This window comes from Homo sapiens, chromosome 10, assembly GCF_000001405.40.
Source record: "Homo sapiens chromosome 10, GRCh38.p14 Primary Assembly".
In the NCBI taxonomy this organism is placed as follows: Eukaryota; Metazoa; Chordata; class Mammalia; order Primates; family Hominidae; genus Homo; species Homo sapiens.
In genome coordinates, this window is record NC_000010.11 from 95,864,634 (window position 1) to 95,878,474 (window position 13,841).

Genomic DNA, 13,841 nt, shown 5'->3' on the forward strand with positions numbered 1-13,841 from the left:
CCCTCTCTTCATCAGGGCTAGTAGAGAAAAAGAGGGCCACAGAGAGGTGCCTATCATACGAGTATGATCTCCCCCTCACTTCACTTCTAGATAAAAACATCTTACGCTGGAGTAAAGGAGAAGTACCTGAGTGAATACTGCTTTTCTGGTACCTACATTCTCTCCCTCCTTCTGCAAGGCTATCATTTCACAGCTGATTCCTGGGAGCACATCCATTTCATTGGCAAGGTAATTTGGGGGCCTGTTGGGCTGGGGGGAGGTTGGGGTTCGGTGGTAGTGACTGAAGCAGTTTGGGGCTTGAAAAAGGGGGGAGTCAGCATGGTGTAGCTTTGGCTTGATGTCCTGTTCTGCCATTCTGCTTCAAACCCTGGCATTCTGTGTCAAGCCCTCCTGGGTCTGTTGGCCCACTGTGAGCATCCTCGCTAAGGACAGCTACTTGCATTTTCAGTTGCACCTTCCCACATAACAGTGACTAATTCCTTACAAAACAAAACACAAAACGAGATATATTAAAGTAACAGCATTTCAGCAGCTACAGTGACTCTGTGTGCTGACTTCAGCAGCCCTCTGAAAGGCCCCTTCCATAAGCTGGGAAAGTATGATCATGGTTTCATCATCCTTGTTGGTTATTACTTCAAGGTTGACCAATCTGAAAGCTCTGTGTGAAGAAGGGGACTGAGTGGCTGTGAATGATGAGACCGTTGTTTAGAAGCCAGGCTTAGCCTGAGTCCGGAAGAAGCAACCTCAATGCTGTGCTTTACCATAGCACCACCTGCAGGTATCCAGGAATAGAGAACCCAGCTGAGCGACTCATGCTTGACCAAAAATACCCAGAGCAGTGTGTCTCTACCTTTTTAAGCCCATGCTCACTAGTGGGGAAAACATTTTACCCCCTGTATTAAATATGGTGATTTCAAGCAAAACAAAGCATTGAGACAGAGGGCTGTAGCAGGCCTGAGGATAACAGTGTCCTTACACTCTTGTCAGTGCTGATCTTGCTAATTCAAACTTAAATCTTTTCCTTGTTATAATATTCCAGACTTCCTTTAATTCCAGCAGTTTATTTTGTTTGAAAGATTATACCTATGTCAAATTTAGGACTGACACACGAGGTAGTCATGATGTATGTGTGTGTATATACTTTTTTTTTAAGAGACATGGTCTCACGCTGTCACCCAGGCTGGAGTGCAGTGGTATGATCACAGCTCACTGAAGCCTCAAACTCCTGGGATTAAATGATCCTCCCCACCCAGGCTCCCAAATAGCTGAGACTACAGACATGTTCCACCGTGCCCAGCTAATTTTATTTTTTAGAGAGACAGGGTCTCACTATGTTGCCCAGGCTAGTCTCAAACTCCTGGCCTCAAGTGATCCTCCCTCCTTGGCCTCCCAAAGTGCTGAGATTACAGGCATGAGCCACTGTGCCCAGCCAGTGATTTATATTGTTTGAACTCTTCCAATGCATGATCCAATAATTCTAAGCCCTAGGTGATAACTCTTCTAACTCCTCCAACCACAAACAGACTTTCCCCACTGTTTGCAGATCCAGGGCAGCGACGCCGGCTGGACTTTGGGCTACATGCTGAACCTGACCAACATGATCCCAGCTGAGCAACCATTGTCCACACCTCTCTCCCACTCCACCTATGTCTTCCTCATGGTTCTATTCTCCCTGGTCCTTTTCACAGTGGCCATCATAGGCTTGCTTATCTTTCACAAGCCTTCATATTTCTGGAAAGATATGGTATAGCAAAAGCAGCTGAAATATGCTGGCTGGAGTGAGGAAAAAAATCGTCCAGGGAGCATTTTCCTCCATCGCAGTGTTCAAGGCCATCCTTCCCTGTCTGCCAGGGCCAGTCTTGACGAGTGTGAAGCTTCCTTGGCTTTTACTGAAGCCTTTCTTTTGGAGGTATTCAATATCCTTTGCCTCAAGGACTTCGGCAGATACTGTCTCTTTCATGAGTTTTTCCCAGCTACACCTTTCTCCTTTGTACTTTGTGCTTGTATAGGTTTTAAAGACCTGACACCTTTCATAATCTTTGCTTTATAAAAGAACAATATTGACTTTGTCTAGAAGAACTGAGAGTCTTGAGTCCTGTGATAGGAGGCTGAGCTGGCTGAAAGAAGAATCTCAGGAACTGGTTCAGTTGTACTCTTTAAGAACCCCTTTCTCTCTCCTGTTTGCCATCCATTAAGAAAGCCATATGATGCCTTTGGAGAAGGCAGACACACATTCCATTCCCAGCCTGCTCTGTGGGTAGGAGAATTTTCTACAGTAGGCAAATATGTGCTAAAGCCAAAGAGTTTTATAAGGAAATATATGTGCTCATGCAGTCAATACAGTTCTCAATCCCACCCAAAGCAGGTATGTCAATAAATCACATATTCCTAGGTGATACCCAAATGCTACAGAGTGGAACACTCAGACCTGAGATTTGCAAAAAGCAGATGTAAATATATGCATTCAAACATCAGGGCTTACTATGAGGTAGGTGGTATATACATGTCACAAATAAAAATACAGTTACAACTCAGGGTCACAAAAAATGCATCTTCCAATGCATATTTTTATTATGGTAAAATATACATAAATATAATTCACCATTTTAACATTTAATTCATATTAAATACGTACAAATCAGTGACATTTAGTACATTCACAGTGTTGTGCCACCATCACCACTATTTAGTTCCAGAACATTTGCATCATCAATACATTGTCTAGAGACAAGACTATCCTGGGTAGGCAGAAACCATAGATCTTTTGTGTTTACAGCTATGGAAACCAACTGTACCATAAAGATAGTTCACTGAGTTTTAAAGCCAAGCCACATCTTATTTTTCCAAGGTTTAATTTAGTGAGAGGGCAGCATTAGTGTGGAGTGGCATGCTTTTGCCCTATCGTGGAATTTACACATCAGAATGTGCAGGATCCAAGTCTGAAAGTGTTGCCACCCGTCACACAACATGGGCTTTGTTTGCTTATTCCATGAAGCAGCAGCTATAGACCTTACCATGGAAACATGAAGAGACCCTGCACCCCTTTCCTTAAGGATTGCTGCAAGAGTTACCTGTTGAGCAGGATTGACTGGTGATGTTTCATTCTGACCTTGTCCCAAGCTCTCCATCTCTAGATCTGGGGACTGACTGTTGAGCTGATGGGGAAAGAAAAGCTCTCACACAAACCGGAAGCCAAATGTCCCCTATCTCTTGAATGATCAAGTCACTTTTGACAACATCCAGGTGAATATAAAAACTTAATAAAGCTGTGGAAAGGAACTCTTAATCTTCTTTTCTGCTACTTAGGTTAAATTCACTAGATCTTGATTAGGAATCAAAATTCGAATTGGGACATGTTCAAATTCTTTCTTGTGGTAGTTGCCTATACTGTCATCGCTGCTGTTGGTTGAGCATTTGTGGTGTACCACGCTGTGTGCTCAAGGGTATTACATTCATCTTCTCATTTAATCCTCACAACAATCTGAAGAAGGTAGGTATTACAATTCCCACTTCATAGAAACAGAAACTGAGGTTCAGAGAGGTTAAGTCATTTGCCCAAATGGCTGAGCCAAAGCCTACCATGTACCTAACCTTTATTTTCTTTCCCGAACATACCAGGCTGTCTCCTCATAACTTCCAAGCATGCACTTAAAACTCCACATGAATACAAGGTTCATGGGACTTGGTATTCATAGAAAGGGAGGCAGAAAGCTGGTCTGTTCCTGATAGGCTTGTAATTTAATATCATTCTGTTCATGTGCTTTGGATGGAAGCACATCTGGCATATGATGCTAATCAGTGGTTCCCATACCCCTGGCTTCCTAATTTTAATGTTTGCTCACAGCATAGTAGATTGACATCAAATAGTGGCCGATGATGATGAAAATAAAGGTCAAATAAGTTGAGCCAATAACAGCCGCTTTTTTCCTTCTGTCTGCGTATACAAAGCACTGTCATGCACACAATCTATTCTGACCCTCACAACAACCCATAAGGGTGTAAATAGTATTTCCATTTTACAAATGAGGATCACACAAACTACTACATGGCAGAGCAGATACTCCAACTCATGTCTTCTGGTTGAAGCCTATTGCTTTTTCTTTTCTAAACACTTTCCCTCAGCAAGTTGGAATTAGACTTCACAAGTCTCCTTCAGAGAACACAAATCTTTTCTTATTCCATTCCTGTTTGGTTGCCTACGTCCAATCTCCCCCTCCCCAGAGATGCCAAAAAAAAAATCCTTTAAGGTATTTGGGAGCCAAACTCAACTTGTTAAAATCTCAAATTATGGAGACAATCAGCAGACACAACCTAACCCCAATTATTTTGGCAGGAAGGTTGGTTTAGAGGCAGATCCAGCAATCTGCTTTGGGCCACTCTGGGTGGGGTAGGTGAAATAAGATTGGTCACTGTTAACTAATTTTAATATTGGATTGGCCATTGGTTATCACTGATTACCATTCTCCCCTGGATTTTCACCCAGGACTCAAAACTTGGTTCTGCTAACCCTGTTCCTTTATGAGGAACCTTTTAAAGATTCCTTTATAAGGTGGGAGTTTTTTTTCTATGAACCTATAGGGGAGAAAAAAGATCAGCAGAAGTCATTACTTTTTTTTTTTTTTTTTTTTTTTTTTGAGAGAGAGTCTCACTCCATTGCCCAGGCTGGAGTGCAGTGGTGCTATCTCGGCTCACTGCAACCTCCGCCTCCTGGGTTCAAGCAATTCTCCTGCCTCAGCCTCCCGAGTAGCTGGGATTGCAGGTGCCCACCACCACACCCGGCTAATTTTTGTATTTTTAGTAAAGACAGGGTTTCACCATGTTGGCCAGGCTGGTCTCCAACTCCCAATCTCAGGTGATCCTATTGCCTCGGGCTCCCAAAGTGCTGGGATTACAGGAGTGAGCCACCATGCCTGGCCAGAAGTGGTTACTTCTGTAGACAAAAGAATAATGCTACTTAATCAGGCTTTCTGTGTGACAAGAAAGAGAAAGAAAATAAAGAAGTTTCAATTCATCCAATTCTTAATAAGAAATATGTAAATAAAATTTTTTAAAATTACACTTCATTTTAATGTTGTATCAGTCAAGGTCCCTGCAAGAGATGGATGGTATGGTACACTCAAACTGGGTAACACAGGAGAGTTTTCAGAAAGCAACTAAATCCAAAATACTATCAAGGAATCAATATAAAAATTGTTAATATTTTTCTCATACTAAATTTTCAAAATATTTTGTGTCTATTACATTTACAGCACATCTTAATTAGGACTAGCTGTGTGTTCACCTCACATGTGGCTTGTAGCTACCATACTGGACAGCACATGTCCAAAAAAATACACGTAAAGTTAAAGTTTAAAAGACACAGGAACTAAGCCCTCATTGTCTTTCCCTTGGGAGGTAGTTTAAAGAGCTATAGATGCTGTAACATTCTTGCTATTATTTATTATATATGACATTATTCCTAAAAAAGCTTTTGAGATCCTAGGTTGTATTCCTCAGGTTTTGTTGCCTTCCCATGAAGATGTGAAGGCAGGGATGCCTGTTATTCAGTCCAAGATGCATGACAAGAGACCTTGGGAAAGTTTCATCTGGATTTAAAGATTAATTCTTGATGCTTACATTCCATACTCAAAATGTAAATTTGAATATTAAAATAAAGATGATTTTTTTTTTGGAGCTAGTCTTGCTCTGTTGCCCAGGCTGGAATGCAGTGGCATGATCATGGCTCACTGCAGCCTCGACCTCCCAAGCTCAAGCAAGGCTACAGGTGTGCACCTAAGTAGCTAGGACTACAGGTGTGCACCACCATGTCTAGCTATTTTTTTTTCTGTAGAGACAGGGTTTTCCTATGTTGTCCAGGCTGGTCTCGAACTCCTGCCCTCAAGCAATCCTCCTGCCTTGGCCTCCCAAAGTGTTGAGATTACAGGCGTAAGCCACTGCACCTGGCCAAGATGAATATTTTAATAGCTCACAGAACAAAGTTTGCCACATAATGATAAAATTACTATGAAAATATATTCCCTTTATTGTCAGTTTAAAAGATGAACTGAGTTTCACCCAAACTGGTCTGGCCCCTCTCTGATTCAAATACCAATAGTTGCTCTGATTCAAATTCCAACTGTTAGAACATGACAGCTGCTCATAACTAGCTTTGCTTACTAACCATGTTTCTTTCCATTTGTATTAGGTCCTTTACTTTTTATAACAGCCTCAAAGTTTCATGAATTGCTGCAGTAAACATTGATTTTCATGTTTGTGAGTCTGCAAGCCAGCTGGGCAGCTCTACTTCAGGTGGTAAGGGTGGATCAGACCTATTCCATATACCTCTTGTTCTCCTTGTCCAGTGGTTTCTAGGGATATGTTCTCATGATGAACCCCGCAGAGGCTCGTGAAAGTGAGAGGAAACTAGGATGCCTCTTAAGGTCTTGGTCAGGATGGGGTCTCCTGTCACTTCTGTCACAGGCTATTGTAAGTCATATGAGCAAGCTCAATAAAATATAAACAAGTCAGATAAACAGTGGGAGGAATGGCAAAGTCATATGGCCAAGGCCATGAGTGATTAATTTTAACACAGGAAAAAAGTAAAGCATTAAATGCGATTATTTAATATACAATGTCTTATTAACTGAAATATAAAATGTGTTTACTGTAAAATATAATCTGTTTATCTCACCAAAGAAATATTATCTTTAAAAAATGTCATTACTTCTAAGACATCATCAGTCTGCAACTTCTTTCCATAGCCTTAATCAGGATGCTGTGGCAGCTCCCACATTAGCCTCGCATTCTAAACTGGTAGATGTCCTAGGAAACCATACATCTATGTATTTTTCTTATTTTATACGTTTAGGACAATGTATAGCTAATTACCCAACTTTTTATTTGCATACAAATCTAATACAACTGAACACAATCAGTTTTATCACAGGTATAATGGATTTTTCAATAGTGAGGAGGTGCCTCCATGAGCCTTCTCTTTAGAAAAGTGGCATTCAAGACTCTTCATTTGAAGTGAAGATTGCTATGTCTTTTGCATTGCTCTATTTTACATAAATTAAGTTATAAATTGACACTATAATCAACTGACACCATGATCAGTGATGATGATCACCCTCATCAGCACTAGAGTTGACTTGTTTTTATAACCCCTTTGCATGTATGTTGAATAGCAAAGTTCATCAGAGAACATGTATTAGTCAATGGTAAGTAAGATACTCTCATCTAAGAAATAACATCACCTCTTCTAATGAAGTTCTAAGAAGAGAGGGAAGAAAAAGTCTTGGGAGCTAGTCAGGGAATAGTGTGTATTTGCAATTACCTAAACTGAACTCTACCATTACTCCTAACCCAGTTCCTCCTCCTGTGTTTTACATGATTAATGCCACCCCTGCCTCAATGAACCAAGATCAGCTCCATCACTGGGACCTCCCCATTCTGCCTGTGCAATATTTTTCTTTTTTATTTCTCCTTCTAATATTACTGTTATTGCTCCAGTAAAGAGCTGTAATATATTTTACCTGGACTGATACCAGGAATGGTGGTGTTGCTTCCAATCTGTTGCTGCTAGATTAATCTTTGCAAAGCACAGGCTTAATTTCATTGCTGCTCAACTAAAACCACTGGTGGCTTTCCATTGCCTACAAAATAAAGTCAACCTCCCCATCAGACATTCAAGGCTTTCAATGATCCATGGCCGCCAGCTCTCTCCAGGCTCATATCCCACTCCACTCCTCTGATGTTTCCTACACTACACTACACTATACTACACTACAGCCAGGTAGAATGACTGTTCACCCAACACCACTCAGGTTGTCTTCTCAACTTGGAATACTCTTGCACCTTCAAAGCTCATTTCAAATGCCCCTTCATTTGTGAAGCCTTCTCCAAATTTCCAAGTCAGAATGTCTCTTCCTTGTGCTACCACAACCCTTTAACTGAGCCTCCATTAGTGCACTGAGACCATTCTGTTCAGTGTCTGGGTGAAGCTTCCTGGTGAAAAATATGTTACCTATTTCTTTCTGAAAAGTTGGATTCAGGGATATTATCACGGACCTAAGGTAATAGTTCTAGCCAACCTCCCTGTCCACTGCCAGGCCGACTACAAACCCTTCTGTTGCTGGCGAGCTGGTCCGCACCACTAGTTCTGCTTCACTCTATTTATCTCTTGATGTAACCATCTTCTTTCTCCAGGTTTTAAGAACCAGCCCAACTCCTGGTTCCCTGATGAAGCTTTTATTCCCCTAGCCACATGGAACTTTTCCTTTTTGGAACATGCCTTTAGTTTCTGTGTAGTTTGCCATGCAGCACTTCATTGTACACATTATTAAAACAGAATTTTAAGGATTAGAATGAACCTTAAAAGATCATGCATCTCAAAATTTAATGTACATACAAATTACCCAGGGATTTTGTTGAAATAAAAATTATTTAATTTTAATTAATATAAATAATTCAGTAGGTCTGGGGTGAGGCCTGAGGTTTTACATTTCCAACAAGCTGCCAGGTAAAGCCAATACATCTGTCCAGGAATCACACTTTGCGTATCAAAGGTCTAGATGACATTATCATTCCAAAGAGTTTCTTTTACAGGCTCTCAGATCAGTGTTCATCCACTACCTGACTACTGTCATTCACAGGCATTCTGTTCCACAGCAGGCCAGCTAACGTGGTATTTACAAAGCTCACTCCTCTTATACAACAATCCAAGTGTTTCTTTTGTCAGTTGTCTGTGCCCCAGGAGATCCCTCTCTGCCTTGCCTTGCCCTCTGCCTTTGGAGACCAGCACCTCATACTCAGTGAAGGCCTGGAGTGCTTAAGAGGGATTTCTTCCAGCTCTCTTGCCCTGGTCTTCAGTGTATTAGATGTATTACCTCCATGCTCTCAGTAGAGGCCCATAGGAAAGAGTAGGTAGGTTATGCCAGCTCACACGCATCCTTTAAAAATGGTTTAGAAGTTTAGCTGGTTTCTTATTACTCCTGTCTATGGATGTTTCCTTCTGTCACTCTACTAGGGATGAAACAGCTAATCATGTTCAATAGTTACATTTAGATTGGTTTTTAAAAACTATGATTGTATTAGTTCGTTTCCATGCTGCTGATAAAGACATATCTGAGACTGGAAACAAAAAGGGTTTAATTGGACTTACAGTTCCACATGGCTGGGGAGGCCTCAAAATCAGGTGGGAGGCAAAAGGTACTTCTTACGTGGTGGCATCAAGAGCAAAATGAGGAAGAAGCAAAAGCAGAAACTCTTCATAAACCCACCAGATCTTGTGGGACTTATTATCACGAGAATAGCACAGAAAAGACTGGCCTCCATGATTCAATTACCTCCCACTGCGTCCCTCCCACAACATGTGGGAATTCTGGGAGATACAATTCAAGTTGAGATTTGGGTGGGGACACAGCCAAACCATATCATTCCTCCCTGGGCTCCTCCAAATTTCATAATCCTCACATTTCAAAACCAATCATTCCTTCCCAACAGTTCCCCAAAGTCTTAACTCATTTCAGCATTAACCCAAAAGTCCACAGTCCAAAGTCTCATCTGAGACAAGGCAAGTCCCTTCCACTTACAAGCCTGTAAAAGCAAGCTAGTTACCTCCTAGATACAATGGGGGGTACAGGTATTGGGTAAATACAGCTGTTCCAAATGAGAGAAATTGGCCAAAACAAAGGGGTTACAGGGTCCATGCAAGTCTGAAATCCAGTGGGGCAGTCAAATTTTAAAGCTCCATAATGATCTCCTTTGACTCCATGTCTCACATTCAGGTCATGCTGATGCAAGAGATAGGTTCCCATGGTCTTGTGCAGCTCCGCCCCTGTGGCTTTGCAGAGTACAGCCTCCCTCCTGGCTGCTTTCTCAGGCTGATGTTGAGTGTCTGTAGCTTTTCCAGGCACAAGATGCAAGTTGGTGGTTGATCTACCATTCTGGGGTCTACCATTCTGGGGTCTACCGTTCTGGGACTGTGGCCTTCTTCTCACAGCTCCACTAGGCAGTGCCCCAACAGGGACTCTGTGTGGGGGCTCTGCCCCACATTTCCCTTCCACACTGCCCTAGGAGAGGTTCCCCATGAGGGCTCTGCCCCTGCAGCAAACTTTTGCCTGGACATCCAGGTGTTTCCATATATATTCTGAAATCTAGGCAGAGGTTCCCAAATCTCAATTCTTGACATCTCTGCACCCACAGGCTCAACATCACATGGAAGCTGCCAATGCTTGGGGCCTCTACCCTCTGAAGCCACAGCCCAAGCTCTATGTTGGCTCCTTTCAGCCATGGCTGGAGCAGCTGGGACACAGGGCACCAAGTCCCTAGGCTGCACACAGCACAGAGACCCTGGGCCCAGCCCACAAAACCACTTTTTCCTCCTGGGCCTCTGGGCCTGTGATGGGAGGGGCTGCCATGAAGGTCTCTGACATGACCTGGAGACATTTTCCCCATGGTCTTGGGGATTAACATTAGGCTCCTTGCTGCTTATGCAAATTTCTGCAGCCAGCTTGAATTTCTCCTTAAAAAAAATGGGTTTTTCTTTTCTACTGCATCATCAGGCTGCAGATTTTCCACATTTATGCTCTTGTTTCCCTTTTAAAACAGAATGTTTTTAACAGCACCCAAGTCACCTTTTGAATGCTTTGCTGCTTAGAAATTTATTCCACCAGATACCCTAAGTCATCTCTCTCAAGCTCTAAGTTCCACAAATCTCTAGGGCAAGGGTGAAATGCTGCCAGTCTCCTTGCTAAAACATAACAAGGGTCACCTTTACTTCAGTTCCCAACAAGGTCTTCATCTCCATCTGAGACCACCTCAGCCTGGACCTTATTGTTCATATCACTATCAGTATTTTTGTCAATGCCATTCACAGTCTCTAGGAGGTTCCAAACTTTCCTACATTTTCCTATCTTCTTCTGAGCCCTCCAGATTATTTCAACACCCAGTTCCAAAGTTGCTTCCACATTTTCGGGTATCTTTTCAGCAATGCCCCACTCTACTGGTACTATTAGTCCATTTTCATGCTGCTGATAAAGACATACCTGAGACTGGGAACAAAAAGAGGTTTAATTGGACTTATAGTTCCACCTGGCTGGGGAGGCCTCAGAATCATGGCAGGAGGTGAAAGGCATTTCTTACACGGCAGCAGCAAGAGAAAAATGAAGAAGCAGCAAAAGCAGAAACCCCTGATAAAACCATCAGATCTCGTGAGACTTATTCACTATCACAAGAATAGCATGGGAAAGACCAGCCCCCTTGATTCAATTACCTCCCCCTGGGTCCTGTGGGAATTCTGGAAGGTACAATTCAAGTTGAGATTTGGGTGGGGACACAGCCAAACCATATCAATGATTTTGTACTTTAACCAGCTGAATGGAAGTACAATCTCTTGCTATATGACACAATAATTATTTGCAAAATGAGTAAACATATCATAAGGAAATTATTTTTACAAGGTTTGAAACCTGAAATGCAGTCTATTATCATACATAACTAAAAATAGAGCCTCAATAAACAGATTCCCAGTTTTGAAAATGCAACATTTGTACTCCACATTGTCAGTTTTCTTAGGTATATTTATAAATACTCCTATAAAAATGTAAAGAAACACATAATGTAGATTGCTAATTTTATAATAACACAAGTTGATTTTGACATCCAACTTATTAATTATGAAATGACTTTTGGCCTAGTAACAATGAAAATGGGGGCAAATACAGATAAATGGTAATTCTTAGAATGAACTACTCAGCACCAATTCTAAGTTTTTCTTGATGGTAAATCATAATGTTCCCTTTCTCCTCGGTTCTGCAATCTATAGGCATACCATAATTGTAATCAATAGCTTAAAAATATGTCTCTCTGTCCTATTCTGTATCTGTATCTCTTGGATTTTTACCTTTGCAATAGTCAACTGAACCATCTTCTTGGAGTACTCATGAAGATGGAAGTCTACATGGAGAATACAGGATGAATCCACTCTGTCTCCTGCAGTGAAGTCTGTTTGAAGGATGTATTTGGCTGTCTTCTGGACAGGCCATTCTAATAACAGAAACAAACAAGTTATTTTAAAACTTATTGGAATATTCAAATATTAACCAAAGTAGAAAAATATAATACACATCCATGTGCCCATCACAGAACTTCACTGATTATCATCATTTAGCCAGTCTTGAAGAAGCAAGTGCTAATTACAATCACAAATGAAACAAGATTCAGACTTCATGAAGAGCACTGCGCTATAATAAAAGAAGAAATGAGCACATACATTCTTTTACTGACAGTCAAATGGTGAAGGTGGGCAGAATCATTATGTGATGCAACATGGCAAAAGTATACAGACAGTGCATCCAGAGGAAGGCACCTTGCTGAATGACTAGAATGGAAGTAGGAGACATTTTGCAGGCCCCCTTCATCCTGCAGGGAGAACCAGAACCACAGCAGCTCTATTTGCCTATTCCTCTTTAAATTACAAAGTTAAAATTTGGGAGTAGTAGAAAATCAATTGGTTATCTTATAGAGTCTCCTAGAATATTTCATTGGCATTGAGAAGGTGGAAAATGCAAATTATATACTTTAAAATGTAATTTTTGCTTTTCACATATGCTTAAAGCCTAAAACCTCTTAATAAACTTCTTCTGAAATATACATTTGTGGGACAATTCTAGTATGTTTTAAATGTAACTGTTTCATAGTGTTTATAGAGAACTCTATTTTTTTCCAACTGCAATCCCTTCTTAACCCAAATTTATAACATGCTGTATTGTATGGATCTGTCAGTAGTGGGTCAGTTAAAAGGAAGAGGGTAGGAGGAATCCTGTCTGGCTGTCATCTGCCTTATTTTTTCTTAGGCCAAGGCTTTTTAGGATAACTAAATTTTTCCTTTAGGTTTCTCCACTTGATTGGAATACCTTTGAGTCATTTTAATCCTGTCTGTAGTAGATGAAGAAATTAGGGAAGTATGAAAAACTTGGTAATTTGAAACAAAAACTTGAATCTGATTTTAATAGAGTAGCTTAGTTCAACATGGAATATCCATTTATATTGAAACTCATTCTTTCATATAGTGTACTTGTAACCCCGACCCCATATCTGGTACTGAGTGACAAGAGGGAAGAAAAAGGAAGGCTTTTGAGAAAAGGCCTTTTTATATGCTCTCTTTGGAATACTATAAAATTCCTAACCCAACCCACCATCAGTAATAGAGAGGTTTTCCTAAGAGAAGCAAGGAATTTTTATTGACCAGCATTGTCTTTTATCTTGTACAATGGAAGACAGTGGGTTGGAGTTAGGGTGTAGAATTATAATTATGGAATAGAGCTATATTATCATAAGGGAAATGAAACAATTTCTGGTTTAACTGGTACCAACTGCTAGCTACTGGAAACCTAGGTACAGATAAACTGATCAGTTTTGCAACCCCAAGCCATGAAGGAGAAGTGACAGTCATTTCAAGAGGTCCTGGCCAACCTCTGTAGAGGTTGTATCTAAACCCTGAATATGTGTGAATTCATGAAACACTTATTTTCTAACATGTTTACATATCAATGGGAGTGATTAGGGATAGGGTTGAGAAAGATTATCCCATAGCTAAATCAATATTTACCTCTGACTTCTACCTCTGCAATTATTGGTACCAAGATTCCTGTCAAGTGAAGAAGGTGAGGAAGATAGATGAGATATTAGTAGAAAAGTTATGAGAGAAAAACTGAGTAGTCTCTAAAGAAATACCAAAATAACCCACACTAGGTTCAGGCAGGAGTTAACATCTAACCAGGTATATACAGAATAATGTCATAGATAACTGGAGAAAATATATTGTAAATCGGGGAAAGGCACATAATGACTTTCTCTAT

At 40.9% G+C, this 13,841-nt stretch overlaps 1 protein-coding gene and 1 long non-coding RNA gene across 30 annotated transcripts in view, besides 3 other annotated features; one reads left to right on the forward strand and one right to left on the reverse strand.

Moving 5' to 3' along the window:
* Positions 1 to 12,633, forward strand: part of ENTPD1 (ectonucleoside triphosphate diphosphohydrolase 1) — a 183,082-nt gene extending 170,449 nt beyond the window's left edge. For 20 of the 29 annotated variants that reach the window (NR_199793.1, NM_001440933.1, XM_047426024.1 and 17 more), the window contains 2 exons: positions 91 to 228; positions 1,544 to 12,633. Coding sequence is in view for 28 of the 29 variants with exons in the window: in NM_001440933.1 (NP_001427862.1) it covers positions 91 to 228; positions 1,544 to 1,750 (345 nt within the window). In the remaining variant the exon portion in view is untranslated. Of the gene's footprint in view, positions 1 to 90 lie in introns of all 29 variants that reach the window. The other 9 variants (NM_001320916.1, NM_001440937.1, NM_001440942.1 and 6 more) reach the window with 6 other exon arrangements.
* ENTPD1-AS1 (ENTPD1 antisense RNA 1) overlaps positions 1 to 13,841 on the reverse strand; it is a 337,030-nt gene that overhangs the window by 111,428 nt on the left and 211,761 nt on the right. Inside the window, exon 3 of the long non-coding RNA NR_038444.1 lies at positions 11,885 to 12,027. This is a non-coding gene — a long non-coding RNA (ENTPD1 antisense RNA 1). The remainder of the gene's footprint in view (positions 1 to 11,884; positions 12,028 to 13,841) is intronic.
* Positions 611 to 840: an enhancer, noted in NCBI's record as "active region_3812". NCBI's record gives its function as "activates an Ori minimal core promoter by ATAC-STARR-seq in GM12878 lymphoblastoid cells {active_cell/tissue: GM12878}" and the evidence as "EXISTENCE:reporter gene assay evidence [ECO:0000049][PMID:35858748]".
* Positions 611 to 953: a biological region, named in NCBI's record as "Sharpr-MPRA regulatory region 13404".
* Positions 659 to 953: a silencer, noted in NCBI's record as "tiled region #13404; K562 Repressive DNase matched - State 12:CtcfO". NCBI's record gives its function as "represses a minimal TATA promoter and a strong SV40 promoter by Sharpr-MPRA in K562 cells {active_cell/tissue: K562}" and the evidence as "EXISTENCE:reporter gene assay evidence [ECO:0000049][PMID:27701403]".